Source organism: Homo sapiens, chromosome 3 (assembly GCF_000001405.40).
Source record: "Homo sapiens chromosome 3, GRCh38.p14 Primary Assembly".
Taxonomy (NCBI): Eukaryota; Metazoa; Chordata; class Mammalia; order Primates; family Hominidae; genus Homo; species Homo sapiens.
Window position 1 is genome coordinate 126,228,748 of NC_000003.12, and position 20,231 is coordinate 126,248,978.

The 20,231-nt window shown below is 40.0% G+C and overlaps 1 long non-coding RNA gene across 7 annotated transcripts in view; it reads left to right on the forward strand.

The window, feature by feature from the left end:
- LOC124909426 (uncharacterized) overlaps positions 1-18,986 on the forward strand; it is a 34,702-nt gene extending 15,716 nt beyond the window's left edge. For 3 of the 7 annotated variants that reach the window (XR_007096060.1, XR_007096063.1, XR_007096062.1), the window contains 2 exons: positions 16,655-16,728; positions 17,717-18,986. This is a non-coding gene — a long non-coding RNA (uncharacterized LOC124909426). The remainder of the gene's footprint in view (positions 1-16,654; positions 16,729-17,716) is intronic. The other 4 variants (XR_007096061.1, XR_007096057.1, XR_007096059.1 and 1 more) reach the window with 4 other exon arrangements.
- Positions 18,987-20,231: the final 1,245 nt, after the last annotated feature.

A 20,231-nucleotide genomic window follows, 5' to 3' on the forward strand; every position in this document is an offset into this window, starting at 1 on the left:
TCCAGGATACATTACATTTACTCGTCATGTCTCCTTAGGCTCTTCTTGGTGTGGCAGCTTCTCAGACCTTCCTTGTTTTTGAAGATTTCAACAGTGTTGAGGATTAAGAATTTTATAAGATGCCCCTTTTTTGAAACTTATGTGATGTATATCTGATATTTTTGTCATGATTAGATGTAGGTTATATGTAGACCACACAGGTAGAGAAGCAATGTTCATCACGTTATAATAATATTACATGCTATCAACATGATTTGTCACTGTTGATATTGACTTTTGTCAAAGATCAGTTGACTATATTTCTGTGAATCTATTTCTGGGCTCTCTACTCTGTTCCATTGATCTCTTTGTCTCTTCTTTTCCCAGTATCACACTGTCTTGATTACTGTAGCTTTATAGTAGTAAGCCTTGAAGTTGGATTGTGTCAGTCTTCCATCTTCTTTTTTTTTTTGGAGATGGAGTTTCACTCTTGTTGCCCAAGCTGGAGTGCAATGGTGCAATCTCGGCTCACTGCAACCTCTGCCTCCCAGGTTCAAGTGAGTCTCCTGCCTCAGCCTTTCCAGTAGCTGGGATTGCAGGTGTGCACCACCATGCCTGGCTAATTTTTTTGTATTTTTAGTAGAAACAGGGTTTTACCATGTTAGCCAGGCTTGTCTCGAATTCCTGAGCTCAGATGATCCACCCACCTCAGCCTCCCAAAGTGCTGGGATTACAGGTGTGAGCCTGGCCAGTCCTCCAACTTCATTCTTCTTCAGTATTGTGTTGGCTATTCCAGGTCTTTTGCCTTTCTGTATAAACTTTAGAATTAGTCTTTGATATCCACTAAATAGGTAGCTGGGATTTTGATTGTGCTGCACTGAATAAAATTAAGTTGGGAAAGACTGACATCTTAAACAATATTAAATCTTCTTATCTATCCGTGAACATGAGATATCTTTCAACTTATTTATATCTTTGATTTTTTAAAAATTTTATTTTAGGTTCAAGTGTAAATATGCAGGTTTATTATATAGGCAAATTGTGTGCCACAGGTGTTTGATGTGCGGATACTTTCATTACCCAGGTAATAAGCGTGGTACCTGATAGACAGTTTTTCTGATCCTTTCCCTCCTCCCACCCTCCACCTTCAAGTAGGCCCCAGTGTATGTTGTTCCCCTCCCAATATACACGTGTTCTAGTTGTTTAGCTCCTGCTTATGAGAATGTGTGGTATTTGGTTTTCTATTCCTGCATTAGTTTGCTAACAATAATGGCCTCCAGCTCCATCCATGTTCCTGCAAAGACATGATCTCATTCTTCTTTTGTATGGCTGCATAATATTTCATGGTGTATGTGTACCACATTTTCTTTATGCAGTCTACCATTGATAGGCATTTGGGTTGATTCCATGTTTTTGCTATTGTGAATAGTGCTGCAATGAACATACCTGTGCATGTGTCTTTATAACAGAATGATTTATATTTCTTTGGCTATATACCCAGTAATGGGATTGCTGGGTCAAATGGCAGTTCTATTTTAAGTTGTTTGAGGACTCACCGCACTGATTTCTGCAATGTCTGAACTAATTTATACTCCCACCAGCAGCATATAAGCATTCGTTTTCCCTGCAACCTTACCAGAATCTGTTATTTTCTGACTTTGTAATTATAGCCATTTTGACTAGTGTGAGATGCTATCTCATTGTGGTTTTGATTTGTATTTCTCTAACGATTAGTGATGTTGAACATTTTCTCATATGTTTTTTGAACATTTGTATTAATATGTCTTCTTTTGAAAAGTGTCTTTTTATGTCCTTTGCCTATTTGTTAATGGGATTGTTGTTGTTACAAAAAATTGCTTGTACATTTGTTTAAGTTCCTTATAGATTCTGGATCAATAAGGATGTATAGCTATACTTTCTCCTATTCTATAGGTTATCTGTATACTCTGTTGATAGTTTCTTTTGCTGTGCAGAAGCTCTTTAGTTTAATAAGATCCTATTTGTCAATTTTTTTTTTTGCAATTGCTTTTGGTGTCTTTGTCATGAAATCTTTTGCAAGTCCTGTGTCCAGAAAGGTATTTCCTGAATTATCTTCTAGGGTTTTTATAGTTTTAGGTTTTAGATTTAAGTTTTTAATATATTTTGAGTTGATTTTTGTACATAGTGTAATGTAGGGGTCCAGTTTCAATCTTCTGCATATAACTAGCTGGTGATCTCAGCACCATTTACTGAATGGGGAGTCCTTTTCCCATTGCTTGTTATTGTCAACTTTGCCAAATATCAGATGGTTGTAGGCACGTGGCATTATTTCTGGGCTCTTTCTATTCTGTTCATTGATGTATGCATCTCTTTTTGTACAAGAACCATGCTGTTTTGCTTACTGTAGCCCATAGTTTGGAGTCAGGTAACATGATGCCTCCAGCTTTCTTATTTTTGCTTAGGATTGCTTTGGCTATTAGAGCTCTTTTGTGATCCCATATGATAGTCTTTTCTAATTCTGTGAAGAATGTCATTGGTAGTTTGATAGGAATGGCACTGAATCTGTAAATTGCTTTGGGCAATATGGCCATTTCAACAATAATGATTCTTCCTATCCATGAACATGGAAAGTTTTTCCCTTTGTTTGTGTCATCTCTTATTTCTTTGAGCAGTGTTTTGTAATTCTCGTAGAGATTTTTTGCCTTCCTGGTTAACTATATTCCTAGGTATTTTATTCTTTTTGCACTATCGTGAAATGGATTGTGTTCTTGATTTGGCTCTCAGCTTGGATGCTGTTGTTATATAGGAATGTTATTGATTTTTGTATGTTGATTTTGTATCCTAAAACTTTGCTGAAGCTGTTTATCATATCAAGGAACTTTTGGGCAAAGACTATGGGGTTTTCTAGATAGAGGATCATGACATCTGCAAATAGGAATTGTTTGACTTCCTCTCTTCCTATTTGAATGCTTTTATTTCTTTATCTTGCCTGTATATCTTTGATTTTTTTTAATTAGAGTTTTGTAGTATAACTTGTAAAAAGTTTTGTTAGCTGTATACTTAAGAATTTCATTGTTTTGGTGCTAATATAAGTGTTCCTTTTAATTTCAGAAACACAGAGGTATATAGGAAAGCAATAGACTTTTCTATATTAATCTTGTATTCTACATCTTTGCTATAATCACTTATTAGTTCCAGGAGTTTTATGTTGATTCATTAAAATTTTCTACATAGACAACTATGTCATCTGTGAACAAAGACAGTTATATATCTTCTTTCCAAATCTGTATACTTTTTATTTTCCTTTCTTATCTAATTGCACCAGCTAGAACTCCTAATATGTTGAATAGAAGTGGTGAGAGGGGACATCCTTGCCTTCTTCCTAATGTTAGTGGGAAAGCTTCAAGTTTGTCACCATCAAGTGTGATGTTAGCTGTATGTTTGTTGTAGATTCTCTTTATCAAGTTGAGGAAACTCCCCCCATTCCTAGTTTGCTGAATCTGTATCATAAATGGATATTGGATTTTGTCAAGTGCTTTTTTTACATCTATGCATATGATCACATGATTTTTTTCTTTAATCTGTTGATATGATAAATTACATTAATTGATTTTTGAATGTTAAACCAATATTACATACCTGGAATAAATTCCACTTGCAGGTGGTGTATAGTTCTGTGCACTGTCGGATTTGATTTGCTAATATTTTGTTGAGGAGCTTTACATCCATATTCATGAGAAATATTGGTTTGTAGTTTTCTTTTCTTGTAAGGAAAGTCTTTGTCTGCATTTGGTATTAGGGTGATGCTGACCTCAGAGAATAAGTTAGGAAGCCATTCCTTGGCATCTGTTTTTTGAAACAGATTGTAAAGAATTTTTATTGTTTTTTCCTTAAATGTTTTGTAGAATTCACCAATGAAATCATCTGGGTCTGGTACTCTCTGTTTTAGAAGATTATTAAGTATTCACTCAATTTCTTTTTCAGTTTTAGAAGATTATTGAGTATTCACTCAATTTCTTTTTCAGTATAGACCTATTAAATTAACTATTTCTCTTTGTGTGAGTTTTAGTAGATTGTGTCTTTTGGGTAATTGGGTTTTTTTCCCCTAAGTTATCAAATATGTAGTGACAAAGTTGTTCGTAATATTTCTTTATTTCCCTTTAAATATCCACGGATTAGTAGTGATGGTGGGCTTTCTTTTATTTCTGATATTAGTGATTTGTGTCTTCTCTCCTTCTCTCTCTCTCAGTTAACCTGGCTATCCAAGATCAATAAAATTGATCTTTTCAAGCAAGTTTTTTTATTTCTTTTTTTGGTTTTTATTTATTTTACATTTCATTAATGTTTGCTCAAATTTTTTTGATTATTTATTTTCTTCTGCTTAGTTTGGATTTAATTTGTTCTTCTTTTTCTTTCCCAACATTAAAGCTTAGATGTTTAATTTTGAGATCTTTCTAATTTTCTAATATTTGCAGTCAATGTTAGAAACTAAACTTGTTATTGGACCCCTCTAATAAATTTTTATTTCAGTTATTGGACTTTTCAACTTCAGTATTTCTATTTGGTGTCTTTATATGATTTCTATGTCTTTATTGATAATCTCTATGTGGTGAAACACTGTTTTCCTGGTTTCCTTTAGTTATTTGTATGTGGTTTCTTTTTGTTTTTTGAATATATTTTAAATAGTTGATGTACTGCCTTTGTCTAATAAGCCCAATATCCAGGTATCATCAGTGCAGGTTTCTATTCATTTTTTTAATGTATATAGGCCATACTTTCTTGTTTCTTTGCAATGCCTTGTAATACTTTGTTGAACATCAGACATTTTGAATATTATAATATGGAAGTTTTGGAACTCTGATTTTCCCCTATCTCCAGTGTTGCTGCTTGTTGTATTTGTTTTTTCCTTCTTTAGTAACTTTTCTGAACTAGTTTTGTAAAGTCTATATTCTTTGTCATGTATAGCCACTGAAGTCTCAGTTCCTGTTAGCTTAATAGTCAGCTAGTAATTAAGCAGAGATTTCCTTAAACACCTGGGAGGAAAATCTCCCAGTCTAAAGATGCGCTCTGTTTGTGTTTTGTGTTTGTGCCTCCACCAGGCAGTTTACAACTCTGCCTTAGCCTTCACTTCCTGCTTACACAGAGTCAGAAAGTCAGCCAGAGGTTAAATCTTAGGGCTTTCTCAGGTCTCTTTTAGGCATGCAGTCAACCATCCTGGGAGTGTGCATAGACTTCTTGACTCCCAGGAGCTTTTCAAAGACTTTATTCCCCCAAAGCATTTCATTCCTCAGCCTTTCCTCCCAAGCTTATTGATTGGTCTATTGTTTCTCCTAATTGCTATCCTTTGAGTGAGATGGAGTGATTTTAACATTTGCCTTTAAAAGTTTCTGATAGAATGTTGAAAACCCTGGTATGTTCTGAATTAGGAGAAATAAAGGCAAACCCATTGATCCCTTCCTTTTGGGAGCCAACATACAGGTCAAAACAAAAAAAAAAATGCAATTATTTAAAGATAAGTTCTGCTGTGCTCCCTCCAGTACTAAATACCTGTACTGTGAATGCCAGCTGTTGTCTCAAGGACACCATCAAGCCAGGAATGGAACCAGGATAAGTTAAAATGCCATGAATTTCTTTTACTGAGATTCAGCTGGTTTTTCTTAATTAAACATTAGGCTTTGGATTAGTTTCTAGAATTCCTAAAAAGTTGATTTTGGCAGTTTTTGCAGTTAGTTTATTGCTTTTGTGGAGGGACAAATTTTGATGTTCTCTACTGTGCCACTTTTGCTTCTCTACCCTTTCACTTTTAACCTGTTTATGTCTTTATATTTAAGTGGATTTCTTGCAGTCAATATACAGTTTGGTCTCATTTTTAATCCAATATGACAGTCTTTGTCCTTTAATTTGTGTATCTGGACCATTTAGATTTAAAGTTATTATTGATATAGTTGAATAATGCTAACATATTTGCAGCTTTTTTCTATTCATTTCACTTGCTTTTTGTTTCTTTTTTTCACTTGTTCTTTTAGTGCTTTCTGTGGTTTTAACTTAGCATATTATAATATTTCATTTTCTCTCCTCTCTTAGCATATCAATGTGGGGAAAATTGATATTGAGTTCTCAAATAATAGTAGGAATAAAAGACTAATGTAGAACCTTAAATAAACAATGGGAAAATTAAAATAAAGAATATGTTTAAAGAGCAATCATGTAAAATAAATAAAACCAAGTCAAGATGGAAAGAATAAAATCAAGATTAAAGTCACCATACCAAAAAAAAAACCAAAATTGACTAAATTCCTGTGCCATAAATACATACAATTTTTATTTTTCAATTTTAAAAAGTTTTTTTAAGAGACAATTTAAAAAATAAATGCTAACCCAAACCTTGCCCATCTCCTATCAAAGAAGCCTGCAACACTGCGGTGCTTCACCCTCAGAAGGGGCACACTGGCGTGTTGAAATGAGATGAAGTATTCCACATTTTTAACCTCCCCAAAAATACAGAGCCTGCCATAGTGAGTTAAAAAATAAAACATAGTTTGTTTTTGGAAGAGTTTAAACACTCATCAAAGTGGTAAGAAAACATTGCAAATAAAGAGGCAGATAAAGAGATAATAAACAAATACAAGTAAAAAGGAAAATACAAGTAAAAAGGAAACAATGTCAGTAGCAACCAAACCATTGATTAAAAGCACTAAAACAGATAAATATAAATGCATTTTCCCTAACTCCCAACTGGTTAAAAATGTATATTTTGTAAATATACAAAGCATAACTTGTAAAGAAGATACAACAGAAGTTAACCTATATGCACCAAATATAGCTGTTTAGTACATAAAAATAATTTATTAGAAATGCCAGGAAGCTGTGTCCATTTTTTATCCAATAGAATTTTCCTTTCTTACTCATGAGAGGTGCCTGATTCTGCTGCAGGCTACAATGTGCCCAATTAACAGACCACATTTCTCAGGCTTTTTTTTTTTTTCTGCCACAATGATCATGCAACTAGGACCAGGCTAGTAAAATGTAAGCAGATGTGTTTTTTGGAACTTCTGAAAAGGTCTCTTTGAGATCACTATTTCAGAAATGTGCCTTTTGCCTGCCTTCATTCTTCCTTCTTCAATAGGACACAATGGTTCCAGCAGCTGTCTTAAGAAATGCAGGTGAACCCATGCTAAGAATGGTGGTGCAAACAGATACAAGAAGCCTGGTTCTTGTAACTTAGTGGTGCTACCACATCAGCCTGTGGTGTCCCATCTCTAAGCATTTTTTAATGTAAGGTACTAAATATTCTGTATTTAAAATATTTTCAAGCCTCGGCAACATAGTGAGATCCAGTCTCTACTAAAAAATTAAGAATTTGTGAAAGTTAGCTGGGCATGGTGGCCCATGCCTGTAGTCCCAACTACTCAGGGGGCTGAGGTGGGAGGAGTACTTGAGCCTGGGAGTTCAAGGCTGAAATGAGCTGAGATCACACTACTGCACTCCAGCCTTGGCAAGAGAGAAATATCCTGTCTCCAAGATCTATATATGTATATCCAATCTAGTTTCTTTCTATTGTATGAGCCAAACTTAATCCTCACTAATACAAATTGGTAAACATACAAGAAGAGTAAAAGACTTCAACGTATTTCTGCAATAACAGGACAGATGTCATAGTCAAAAAAGTAAGTGAGAATTTTGTGCATCAAGAAACATTATCAAGAAAGAAAAAAGGGGCCGGGCGTGGTGGCTCATGCCTGTAGTTCCAGCACTTTGGAAGGCCGAGGTGGGAGCATCACGAGGTCAGGAGATCGAGACCATCCTGGCTAACATGGTGAAATGCCATCTCTACTAAAAATACAAAAAATTAGCTGGATGTGGTGGCGGGCGCCTGTGGTCCCAGCTACTCAGGAGGCTGAGACAGGAGAATGGTGCAAACCCGGGAGGTGGAGCTTGCAGGGAGCAGAGATCATGCCACTACACTCCAGCCTGCGTAGCAGAGTGAGACTCCATCTCAAAAAAAAAAAAAAAAAAAAAAAGAAAGAAAGAAAAAAGGAAGCCTATAAAATGGGAAAATATATTTGTAAATTATATATCTAATAAGGGTCTAATATTCAGAATATATAAAGCACTCTTATAAGTCAACAATGAGCATGCAAACAACCAACTTTTTTTTTAAATGGGCAAATGAGTTGAGTAGATATTTCCCAAAAGTAGATATGCAAATGACCAACAAGCACATGAAAATATGCTCTACATCATTAGTCATTAGTGAAATGCCAGTGAAAGCCACAGTGAAATACTACTTTATAAATAGTAGGATGGCTATTACCTTGAAAACAAAGCACACACACAGAAAGTAACAAGTGTTGATGATGTGGAGAAATTGCAACCCTTATGCATTGCTGGCAGAAATGTAAAATGGTTCAATCACCATGGTAACAGTTTGGTAGTTCTTCAAAAAGTTAAAATGGGAACTATCATATAACCCATCAAATCCACCCTTAGGTACATACCCAAGACAATTGAAAACAGAAACTTGAACAAATACATAGACACAAGTGTTTGTAGCAGCACTATACACAATAGCCAAAAGGTGGAAACAATCCAGAGTTCTCTCAGTAGATGAATGGACAAATAAGTTGTGGTATAGCCATACAATGGAATATTATTTGGCCTAAAAATGATTGAAATACTGGTACATGCTACATGGTGGATAAGAAGCAAAAACATTATGCTAGGTGAAAGAAGCCAGACACAAAATGTCACATGGTATGATTCCATTTATAGGTTGTATATTAGTCCATTCTCACACTGCTATAAGGACATATTCAAGACTGAGTAATTTATAAAGAAAAGAGGTTTGATCAACTCACAGTTCCACAGGGCTTGGAAAGCCTCAGGAAACTTACAATCATGGCAGAAGGGGAAGCAAACATGTTCTTCACTGAGTGGCAGCAGAGAGAAATGCAGAATGAAGAGGATAGGAAAGTCCCTTATAAAACCATCAGATCTCATGACAGCTAACGCACTATCATGAGAACAAGATGGGAGAAACTGCCCAGTGATTCAGTTGTCTTCATTTGGCTCCTCCCATGACACATGGGGATTATGGGAACTACAATTCAAGATGAGATTTGGGTAGGGACACAGAGCCAAACCATATAATTCCACTCCGGCCTCTCCCAAATCTCATGTCCTCACAATTCAAAACAATCATGCCCTTCCAACAGTTCCCTAAAGTCTTAACTAATTCCAGCATTAACCCAAAAGTCCAAGTTCAAAGTCTTATCTGAGACGTGGCAAGTCCCTTCCACCTATGAACCTGCAGAATCAAAAGCAAGTTAGTTACTTCCTAGATAGAATGGGGGTATGGGCATTGGGTAAATAAGCCCATTCCAAATGGGAGGAATTGGCCAAAACTAAGGGGATGCAGGCTCCATGCAAGTCCAAAATCCAATAAGACAGTCACTAAACCTTAAAGTTTCAAAATGATCTTCTTTGACTCTATGTCTTACATCCAAGTTGTGCTGATGCAAGAGGTGGGCTTCCATGGCCTTGAGCAGCTCTGCCCCTGTGTCTTTGTGGGGTACAGCTCCCCTCTTGGCTGCTTTCATGGGCTGGCATTGAGTGTCTGTGGCTTTTCCAGGTGCACAATGCAAGCTGTGAGTGGATCTACCATTCTGGGGTCTGGACGATGGTGGCCCCATTTTCACAGCTCCACCAGGCAGTGCCCCAGTGGGGACTCTGTGTGGGGGCTCTGACCCCCCATTTCCCTTCCACAATCCCCTAGCAGAGGTTCTCCATGAGGCCTATACCCCTGCAGCAAACTTCTGCCTGGGCATCCAGGCATTTCCATATATGCTCTGAAATCTTCATAGAGGTTCTTAAACCTCAATCTTTGACTTCTGTGCACCCACAGATTCAATATCACATGTAAACTGCAAAGGCTTAAGCTTGCACCCTCTGAAGCCACAGCCTGAGCTGTACATTGGTCCCTTTTAGCCATGGCTAGAGCAGCTGGGATGCAGGGCACCAACTCCCAAGGCTGCACACAGCAAGTGGCCTTGGACCTGGCCCAGGAAACCATTTTTCCCTCTTAGGCCTCCAGGCCTGTGATGGGAAGGGCTGCCATGAAGGTCTCTGACATGCCCTGGAGACATTTTTCCCATTGTCTTGGTGATTAGCATTTGGCTTCTCATTATGCAAATTTTTGCTGCCAGATTGAATTTCTCCCCGGAAAATTGGTTTTTCTTTTCTACTGCATCATCAGGCTGCAAATTTTTAAAACTTTTATGTTCTGCTTCCTCTTGAACACTTTGCCACTTAGAAAGTTCTTCTGCCAGATACCCTAAATTATCTCTCTCAAGTTCAAAGTTCCATAGATCTCTAGGTCAGGGCAAAATGCCACCCATCTCTTTGCATATCAAGAGTGACTGGATTAGTCCATTTTCATACTGCTATGAAGAAATACCCAAGACTGGGTAATTTACAAAAAAAAGGTTTAATTGACTCACAGTTCCACATGGCTGGGGAGGCCTCACAATTATAGCAGAAGGCAAAGGAGGATCAAAGTCACATCTTACATGGAGTCAGGCAACAGAGTATGTGCAGGGAAACTGCCCTTTCTAAAACCATCAGATCTTGTGAGACTTATTTACTACCATGAGAACAGCATAGGAAAATCCCACCCTCATGATTCAATTAGCTTCCACTGTGTCCCTCCTACAACACATGAGGATTATGGAAGCTAAAATTCAAAATGAGATTTGGGTGGGGGCATAGCCAAACCATATCAGCGACTTTTACTCCAGTACCCAACAAGTTCCTCATCTCCATCTGAGACCACCTCAGCCTGGACTTTATTGTTCATATCACTATCAACATTTTGGTTAAAGCCATTCAACAAGTCTCTAAGAAGTTCCAAACTTTCCCACACGTTCCTGTCTTCTGAGCCCTCTAAGTCTATAGGAAGTTCGAAAGTTTCCCACATTTTTCTGGTCTTCTACTGAGTCCTCCAAACTGTTCCAACCTCTGCCTGTTACCCAGTTCCAAAATTGCTTCCATATTTTCAGATATCTTTACAGCATTACCCCATTACCTGGTACCAATTTACTGTATTAGCCCATTCTCATGCTGCTAGGAGGACATACCTGAGACTAGGTAATTTATAAAGGAAAGAGGTTTAAGTGACTCACAGTTCTGCAGGGCTGGGAAGGCCTCAGGAAACTTACAATCATAATGGAACGGGAAGCAAAAATGTCCTTCACATGATGGCAGCAAGGAGAAATGTAGAGCAGAGGTCAGGAAAAGACCCCTTATAAAACCGTCAGCTCTCACGAGAACTAATTCACTAGGATAAGAACAGGATGAGGGAAACCTCCCCCATGATTCAAGTATTTTCACCTGGTCCCTCCCAGGACATGTGGGTATTATGGGAACGACAATTCAAGATGAGATATGGGTGGGGACACAGCCAAACCATATCAGGTAGAATATTCAAATCTATAGAGACAGAAAGCAAATGGGTTTTGGCCAGGTGCTGGGAGTGTGGAGCAGCTGAGAAGTGACTGCTCACAGGTACATGGTTTTATTAGGGATGATGAAAATGTTTTGAAACTTGTACTAAACATACTAAATGCCATTGAATTGTACACTGTATAAAATGTTGAATTTTATGCTATATGAATTTCATCTCAATTTTTTAAATAAAAAGAGGAATCAAATGTGATTATACATACATATGTGTGTGTTGCATCCTTGTGTGTCTATTTATATAGATAAATAATCTTACATCTCTAGAAGGGAGAATGTACTTTTTCTATATCCCTTAAACATTTAAAGGAATTTACCATGAAATCCTTGTGTCCAAAAATAAAAAGAAATTTTGTTGATCAGGATTCAATAATATTAGAAACAGCTAATAAAAATAGGACCAAAAGTTATATATATATATATATGTTAAAAAACGTGCTCCCAGCTGAACTTGAATCATGGGGGTGGTCAGAATAAAGAGTGCAGACTAAAAGAAAAGCAACCCAAAGGGGAGCACTTCATAACAACATCAGAAAATGAAGGAAGTAAGGAAGGACTCAGCTGTAAACTCCAGAAAACAGAAGAAATAAGGAAGAGAGAATTGGTAAAAATAAAAGATGAGGCCAGGCATGGTGGCTCATGCCTGTGATCCTAGCACTTTTGGAGGCCAAGGTGGGAGAATCACTTGAGGCCAGGAGTTTGAGAACACCTGGGTAACATCGTGAGACCTTATCGCTACAAAAAAATTTAATTTAAAGATAAAATTATTAAAACATAAAATAGAAATAAAAATAAGAGAAGATAGTCACAGGAGAGAGAAAAATAATTATAGGTGAAAGCTAAATATACACCCATGGCACAAATTTCAAAATCTAGATGAAATGAATGATTTCCTAGAAAAAAATAAATTATAAAACTTCATACAAATGAAGTGGAAATGTTGAATAGAAAACCACCATAGAAGAGACTGAGAATGTGATAGGAAATCTCCCCTTGAATAAGGCACCAGAGCCAGGTAGGATCAATAAACAAATCATTCTGGTGCTATTTAAACTATGTCAACCTACATAAAAAGGGAAAATTTTCCTATTCATTATAACAAGTCAGCAGCTCTAACACCCAAATTGTATAAAAGAAATATAAGAAATCTATACACCAATTTTACTTCTGAATATAGATGTAAAAATTCTAAATAAAACATTAGTGAAACAAATCAGTAATGTTTCAAAAAATGGTACACTATCAAGCAGGGTTTATTCCAACAATGAAAAAGTGGCTTAATATCAGGAAAACCTAAGAAATAAAAGCATTATTTTATTAGCACAAGCTGAAAATGCAGTTAACCAAATTTATCAGTTGTTCTTAATAAAAACTCCAGGAACCAAGGAAAACTACTTAATAAAGATGGTCCACCAAAATTAACAGCAAGTATTATTTTGAACTACAAAACACTAACATCATTTTAATTAAACCATTAACTACAGAGGGATACTCATTCTCACCATTATTCAACATTGTCTTGGAAGTTGTAGTGAATGCAATGAAATAAGAACATGGAATAATTTCTATAAGCATTGTGATATGGTTTGGCTCTGTCCCCACCCAAATCTCATCTTGAATTATAGCTCTCATAATTCCCACGTGTTGTGGGAGGGACCCAGAGGGAGATAATGGAATCATGGGGTGGTTTCCCCCATTCTGTTCTCATGGTAGTGAATAAGTCTCATGAGAGCTGATGGTTTTATAAGGGGAAACCCCTTTCACTGGGTTCTCATTCTTCTCTTGTCTGTCGCCATGTGAGATATGCCTTTCACCATCTGCCATGATTGTGAGACCTCCCCAGCCATGTGGAACTGTGAGTCCATTAAACCTATTTCTTTTGTAAATTTCCCAGTCTTGGGTATGTCTTTATCAGCAGCATGAAAATGGACTAATAAATATTGGAGGCAGAGATAAAATAACCTCTGCTCAGAATGATACAATTATATATAGAAAACCAATAACCTATTAAGGAGGCAACACCGTAGAGACAGAGAGCAAATCAGTGCTTGTCTAGACTGGAGTTGGGAATGAGGAAATGCAAACTGGATTGGAGTGATGTTTGTGTAACTCTGTAAATTTACTGAAAGTTATAAGTTGTACATTTTAAATGAGTACATTTTTTAGTAGGTAAATTATGCCTCAATAAACTTGTTATAAAAATCTTCTGGGTGGAATAAGAACATTTAAGATGGATGAATGTGATATTAAATAAAACTACTCTTTTTCTTAAAAAGTTTCAAAAATTTAGGAATGTACTTATAAGAAAAGTATAGAAACTATAAAGAAAATTAATAAACCTTATTGAAAGGCATAAAGCAAGAACCGAACTAATAGAAAACAACCATAATCTTGAATGGGAAAACTGAATAGCATCAAAATGCCAATTGTTCTAAAATTAATATTAAAAATCAGTGCAATTCTAGCAAGAATCCCAACAACATTTTTCTCTCCATTGGTTAAGATGATCTTAAAGTTTATGGGGAAAAACAGATACCAAGGATGGCAAATGAAAGTTATAAAATAGATCAATAACAATGAGAAGATTTGCCTAACTAGGAACAAAGGCATAGGGTAAAACCGTAGTCATTGAGACAATATGGCCTTAATGTAGGAAGAGACAAATGGGTCAATGAAACAGCAAGTAAGATCCTAATATACATACATATATATGTGTATGTGTGTATACACAGACGTAGAATTTTCACATATGACAGAGATCGTTGTTCAATTTTGTGGGAAAATGGGAAATTGTTTAATGAACGGTACTGGCACAACCAGCTGTCCATTTGCAAAACAATTACATTGGACTCTCATCTTATACCATATACAAAATTAAATTCCAAATATACTAATGACTTAAACTTAAGAAGCAAAATAATGGAAATACTGCAAGAAAAAATCTATAAGATTACATGACCACCCTAGAGGGCAAGAAAGAACTTATTAATTAATACTGGAAACCAAGAGGTTAATTTTTTTTTAAAAGAAAAATACCAGAATGAAAGAGTTCCCTGACCCACTTGCAGGATGTACAACAGGGGTGTGGCTCATCTGTTCAGCCGCTGCCACTACTCAGACCCCTTACAGGAGGGGGAGCATGCAGATGGGCAGGTGCAGGAGCCAGGGTGAGTGCTTTTGGGCTTAAGACCCACAGTGGCATCTAGGGATGTTTGCCTAGACATGTGGAGTGACTCTCAAAGCCCCAGTGGGCATGGTACAGTGCTCTTTTAGCCCTACTGTCTGCAGACAGCTTAAGTGTTAACCAGCTCAGTGCCTTCTTGGTACCCAGGTCCTTGTCCAGCATCTAGGAAGAATCAGGTCACACATGGACTTGAAGGATGGTGAATGTGGGGATTTTACTGGGTGATGGAGGTGGCTCTCAGTGGGATGGATAGGAAGCTGGAGAGGGGATGAAGTGGGAAGATGATCTTCCCCTGGAGTTTGGCCGTCCAGTGGCTGATCTTCTCTCTGACAGTCCCCAGCTGAACTCTAGATGTTCAGATGCTCCTTCTCTTCTCTCCTTCTCTGCCTCACTGTTCTGCCACTTTTCTGCTCTTCTTTTCATCTGCTCTTGGAGTCCAGAGTTTAGGGTTTATATGGATACCAGATAGGGGGACATGGCAGGCCAAAAGGCAACTTTTGGGCATGAAAACAGGGCTGCCTGTTCCCATTTAGGGCCTCGGGTTTCTAGGCTTGAGGGTAGGGCCTTTGCTGGGGAGCCGCCCTCTTCTACCCAGTATTTCCCTGTCGCCTGTCCATATCACCTCCCCCCCTCTCAAGAGGCATATCTAACTGCCCTTAGAATATGGACGACGACCAGTCTTAGCTACTTCCTGCTGACAAGGGGCATTGTTTGGAGAAAATGACAGTCTGAGTCCTTCCAGAGGTCTATGTAAGGGTCCCCAGCAAAAGGAAGCCATTGTCCGAGGCTTCGGTTGCCTGACCATTTGGAGTTTTGATTGCCTTTAGGTGAGAGAGGATAAAAACAAGTTTCATAAGGTTAAGTATACATGGGTTAAACATGTGTGTTATACAAGGAGAAAATCTAGTGCCAAAGATTACAGAAATAAGAAGTGAAATATACTAACAACATTGTACCCCAATCTGTCTCACCCTGGTGAAAGAAATTAAACCTTGTAAGGGAGCAGTTAAACTTTATGAGAGAGCTAACTGTTCTCACCACGTCTGTAGCAGTTAACAGGTGCACCTTGGGAATTATGGGGTTTGTGGGCTTGCATGGTGTCCATTAAAGCTTCTGTCTCTTTCCTGTGTCTCCCTACCTCCATTGTAAAAAACCGAGGTGGCAACTTTCAGGAGGTCCTCTAAAGTACTATCTGGTCCCAGGGCCAGTTTCTGCAACTTCCTCCTAATATCAGGGGCTGCTTGAGTAATAAGTGTCTCCTTTGGGATTAGTTGTCCCTCGATGGAATCAGGAGATAGAGAGGTATGCCTTAACTAAGGCCCTATTAGCTTCTCCAAGAAGGCAGTGGGATTTTCATTAAATCCATGGTCTATCATGGATAGTTTGCTATAATTGAAAGGCTTGGTCCTAGTCCTATGTAAGCCCTCCATTATGCACACCTGAAAGTATCTCCTCTTCCAGCCTCCATCTCATCACTGGGAGCCCAACCAGGGTCAGTCACTGGTGCTGCTTCTCTTCCAGTTGGATAAATGTCGTCCCCTTCGCTGAGCTATATGTGATACAAAGCTCATCCCCAAATCTCTCTGCGGCTTGCAGAGCAGCCTGCTTCTCAGTGTCCATCAGGATCTGATTCTAAAGTAACACATGTCTCTCCAGGAGAGTTCAAATATTTGGGTGAAATTGTGGAAAGCCTCTATATATCTGTCAGGGTTATCTGAAAACTTGCCAAGATCCTCCTTAATTGACTTAAGTTCTGTAGAGAGAAGGGGACTTGGACCTTACTGGGGCCAAATTCACCAGGCATCTGTTGGAGGGGCAAGAGTGAGACTGGGGCTTGTCTGGGGTGAGGATTTCTAGGACTGGGTAAGTGAGAGACTGAAGCTGGATAGGGAGATCAGGGTGGACCCAGAGGAGCAGGGTTGGAGGGAGCTGGCTCCTCTGCTGGGGGTGCCTCTGGGATTCGTTTCTTTAGTTACCTGGGATTGTTTCTTGCAGCCTCTCCTGAGATGGCAAACAGGAGGTCTGGATCAATCCTACAGTGTCGGCAAATGTCTGGATTACCCTGCAAGGTAAAGAAAGCCTGCACATATGGGGCCTCAGACCATCTGTCCTCATATCTACAGAAAAGATCCAGCTGCTGGATGGTATTGAAATGAATTGTTCCTTCCTGAAGCCAAGCCATCCTTCACAATTTGGCCAAACCTTTGTGCAGAGGGCTATGAGGCATTTTTCTTCCAGACTCTGAGGGTCAAAGCAGTCCCAGTGGTTGAGGATGCACTCCAGAGGAGTATAAGCTGGGGGTGGTAAAAAGAGCTGGTTGCCTATTCTGAAAGACAGGGAAATAGAGGCATCCCTCATTTCCCTTTTTTCTTCCAATGAAAACTTAGGATGTGATGGAGAGAAAGCAGGGCATCCCCGCTTTCCCTTCTGTCTTCTTATCCCTGAGTTCTGGCAACCTTAGACAGATGCCACCCATGGATGCTATTGTGGCCTGCACCTGTGAAGCAGGGAGGGCCTAGAGAACAGGAATTATCCATCCTCATCTACGTCTCTATCCCCGCTACTGTCAGCAACCTTTGGGTTCCTTGGGTCGCATCTATGCCCTGGACCATGGCCTCCTTCCATGAAGCAGGGCTTTAGTCAACAGGAATTTGCCCCTGCCCATTTACATTGTGCCTGTTGCCTGGCTTTGGATCCCTCAGATCTGGTTTTCCTTTCTAGGGCCTCAGCCTGAAGCTTGGAACTGAGTTTGAGACCAAAAAAAAAAAAAAAAAAAAAGAAGAAGAAGAAGAAAGTATTTCAGGGGCCTGCGTGTATCTGTTTAGATTGTCTCAAAAGGGCCTTGCCAGATTTGCAGTTATCAGCCAGCAGGGGTCGCTTCCTCGTTGTTTTTCCTAGCATAAGCAGAGGGCTAGGGCTGGAAAAGAATCCTTTTGCCAGAAAAGGAGGAAAAAAAAAAGCTTAAGGGGCAAAAGATGGGGGGTGGGGGGGGTCCTGGGGGAAGAACCTCTTGCTTTGTGAAAATGGATTCCTTTAATTATTGTGTCTTTCCCCCAGTTCAGACCAGTGAGGATCCTTCAGCCACTGGGGGAAAGGCTCTGCTGACACAGCAACAGCGAGCAGGGGGCGCCAGCCAGCCAGCTGGCCGTGCAGTGTTCCAGCGGCAGGCGTAGTTTTCTCCCACCTCTCATGGACATTGAGTGCACCTTGTGTATGCTATGGACATGCCCAGCCGCTGGAGATGGGAGGGGAGGGGGTAAGAAGGGAAGCCACTGTGCCGTGACCCTGAGGCCATTGAGGTGGGGTTTGGTGTCTCACCAAACGGAAGCCACATTGTTCTGAATTGCACCTCTGATGGCTAGGCCAAATGCTCATTCTGTTTAACATCATTGCTGCAGTCTGTAGCAAAACCCTTAACGTTACAAAGGAAGAGATAGAGCCACTTCAAACCGTGAAAGGAGAAGAGATACCACAGTTAAGTCCGCCTGTCTTGGCCAACGGAGTTCAGTCTTTGGGCTTTCCAGCAACAAAAGATGCCTTCAGTTGCCCCAGGGTTTTACTCCAGTCCCCGGCAACAGCTAGATCTCCATGAAGGGAAACAGCCAATATTTTTTTTACTTGCAGGAAAGGGAGGCATGACAGCTCCACATCTGTGTTCACCCTTGTGGATCCCAGGTGAGACTCCAGATGAAATGGGAGAGTTCTCTGACCCCCTCACAGGACATGTGACAGGAGTGTGGCTAGTCTGTTCAGCCTCCACCACTGCTGAAACACCTTATGGGAGGGGGAGCATGCAGATGGGCAAGCGCAGGTGCCAGGGCCAGCGCTTTTGGGCTTCAACCCCATGGTGGCATCTAGGGGTGTGTGTCTGTGACTCCTGAAGCCCCAGTGTGTGTGCTCCAGTGCTCTTTTAGCTCTGCTGTCTGTCAGGCCTCTGAGCCCAAGCTAAGCCATCAGATCCCCTGTGACCTGCACGTATACATCCAGACGGCCTGAAGCAACTGAAGAACCACAAAAGAAGTGAAAATAGCCAGTTCCTGCCTTAACTGATGACAATCCACCATTGTGATTTGTTCCTGCCCCACCCTAACTGATCAATTGGCCTTGTGACATTCCTTCTCCTGGGCAACGAGTCTCATGATCTCCCCACCCTGCACCTTGTGAGCCCCGTCCCTGCCCACAAGAGATAACCACCTTTAACTGTAATTTTCCACTACCTACCCAAATCATATAAAACTGTCCCACCCCTATCTCCCTTTGCTGACTTCTTTTTCAGACTCAGTCTGCCTGCACCCAGGTGATTAAAAAGTTTTATTGCTCACACAAAGCCTGTTTGGTGGTCTCTTCACATGGACTCTTGTAACATTTGGTGCTGAAAAACCTGGGACAGGGGATCTCCCTCGGGAGATCAATCCCCTGTCCTTGCCCTCTCTCCGTGAGGAGATCCACCTATGACGTCGGATCCTCAGACCAGCCCAAGGAACATCTCACCAATTTTAAATCAGGTAAGTGGCCTCTTTTTATTCTCTTCTCCAAGCTTTCTTGCTATCCCTCCACCCTTCAATCTCTCCCTTCCTTAATTTCAGTTCCTTTCCCTTTCTGGTAGAGACAGAGGAGACACATTTTATCCGTGAACTCAAAACTCCAGTGCCAGTCATGGACTCGGGAAGACAGTCTTCCCTTGGTGTCTAATCACTGCGGGGATGCCTGCCTGATTATTCACCCATATTTCAGAGGTGTCTGATCACCACGGGGATGCCTGCCATGATCCTTCACCTTGGCGGCAAGTACCACCTCCCCTGGGTGGCAAGTACCACCCCCCCGCCCAACCCCGTGTCTCTACCCTCTCTTTTCTCTAAACTTACCTTTTTACTATGGGCAACCTTCCACCCTCCATTCCTCCTTCTCCTCCTTTAGCCTGTGTTCTAAAAAACTTAAAACCTCTTCAACTCTCACCTGACCTAAAACCTAAGTGTCTTATTTTCTTCTGCAACACTGCTTGGCCCCAATACAAACTTGATAATGGCTCTAAATGGCCAGAAAACAGCATTTTCGATTTCTCCATCCTACAAAACCTAGATAATTTTTGTCAAAAAATGGGCAAACGGTATGAGGGGCCTTACATCCGGGCATTTTTCACACTTTGTTCCCTCCCTAATCTCTGTTCCCAGTGCGACTCATCCCAAATCTTCCTTCTTTCCCTCCCACCTGTCCCTTCACTCTCAACCCCAAGCATTGCTGAGTCTTGAATCTTCCTTTTCTACCAACCCGTTTGACTTCTTCCCTCCTCCCCAGACTGCTCCTCCTCAAGTTGCTCCCCACTTATCTGCCTCTCAGTTCTGCTACTCTTCTGCTCTTCTGTTCATCTGCTCTTGGAGCCCAGGATTTGCGGTTTATATGGGTACAAAATAGACGGGCACGGCAGTCTGAAAGGCAACTTTTGGGCCAAAAACAGGACTGCCTGTTCCAATTTAGGGCCTCGGGTTTCCAGGCTTGAGGGCGGGGCCCTTGCCAGGGAGTTGCCTTCTGCCGCCCAGTATTTCCCTGTCTCCTGCCTGTATCAATATTATAA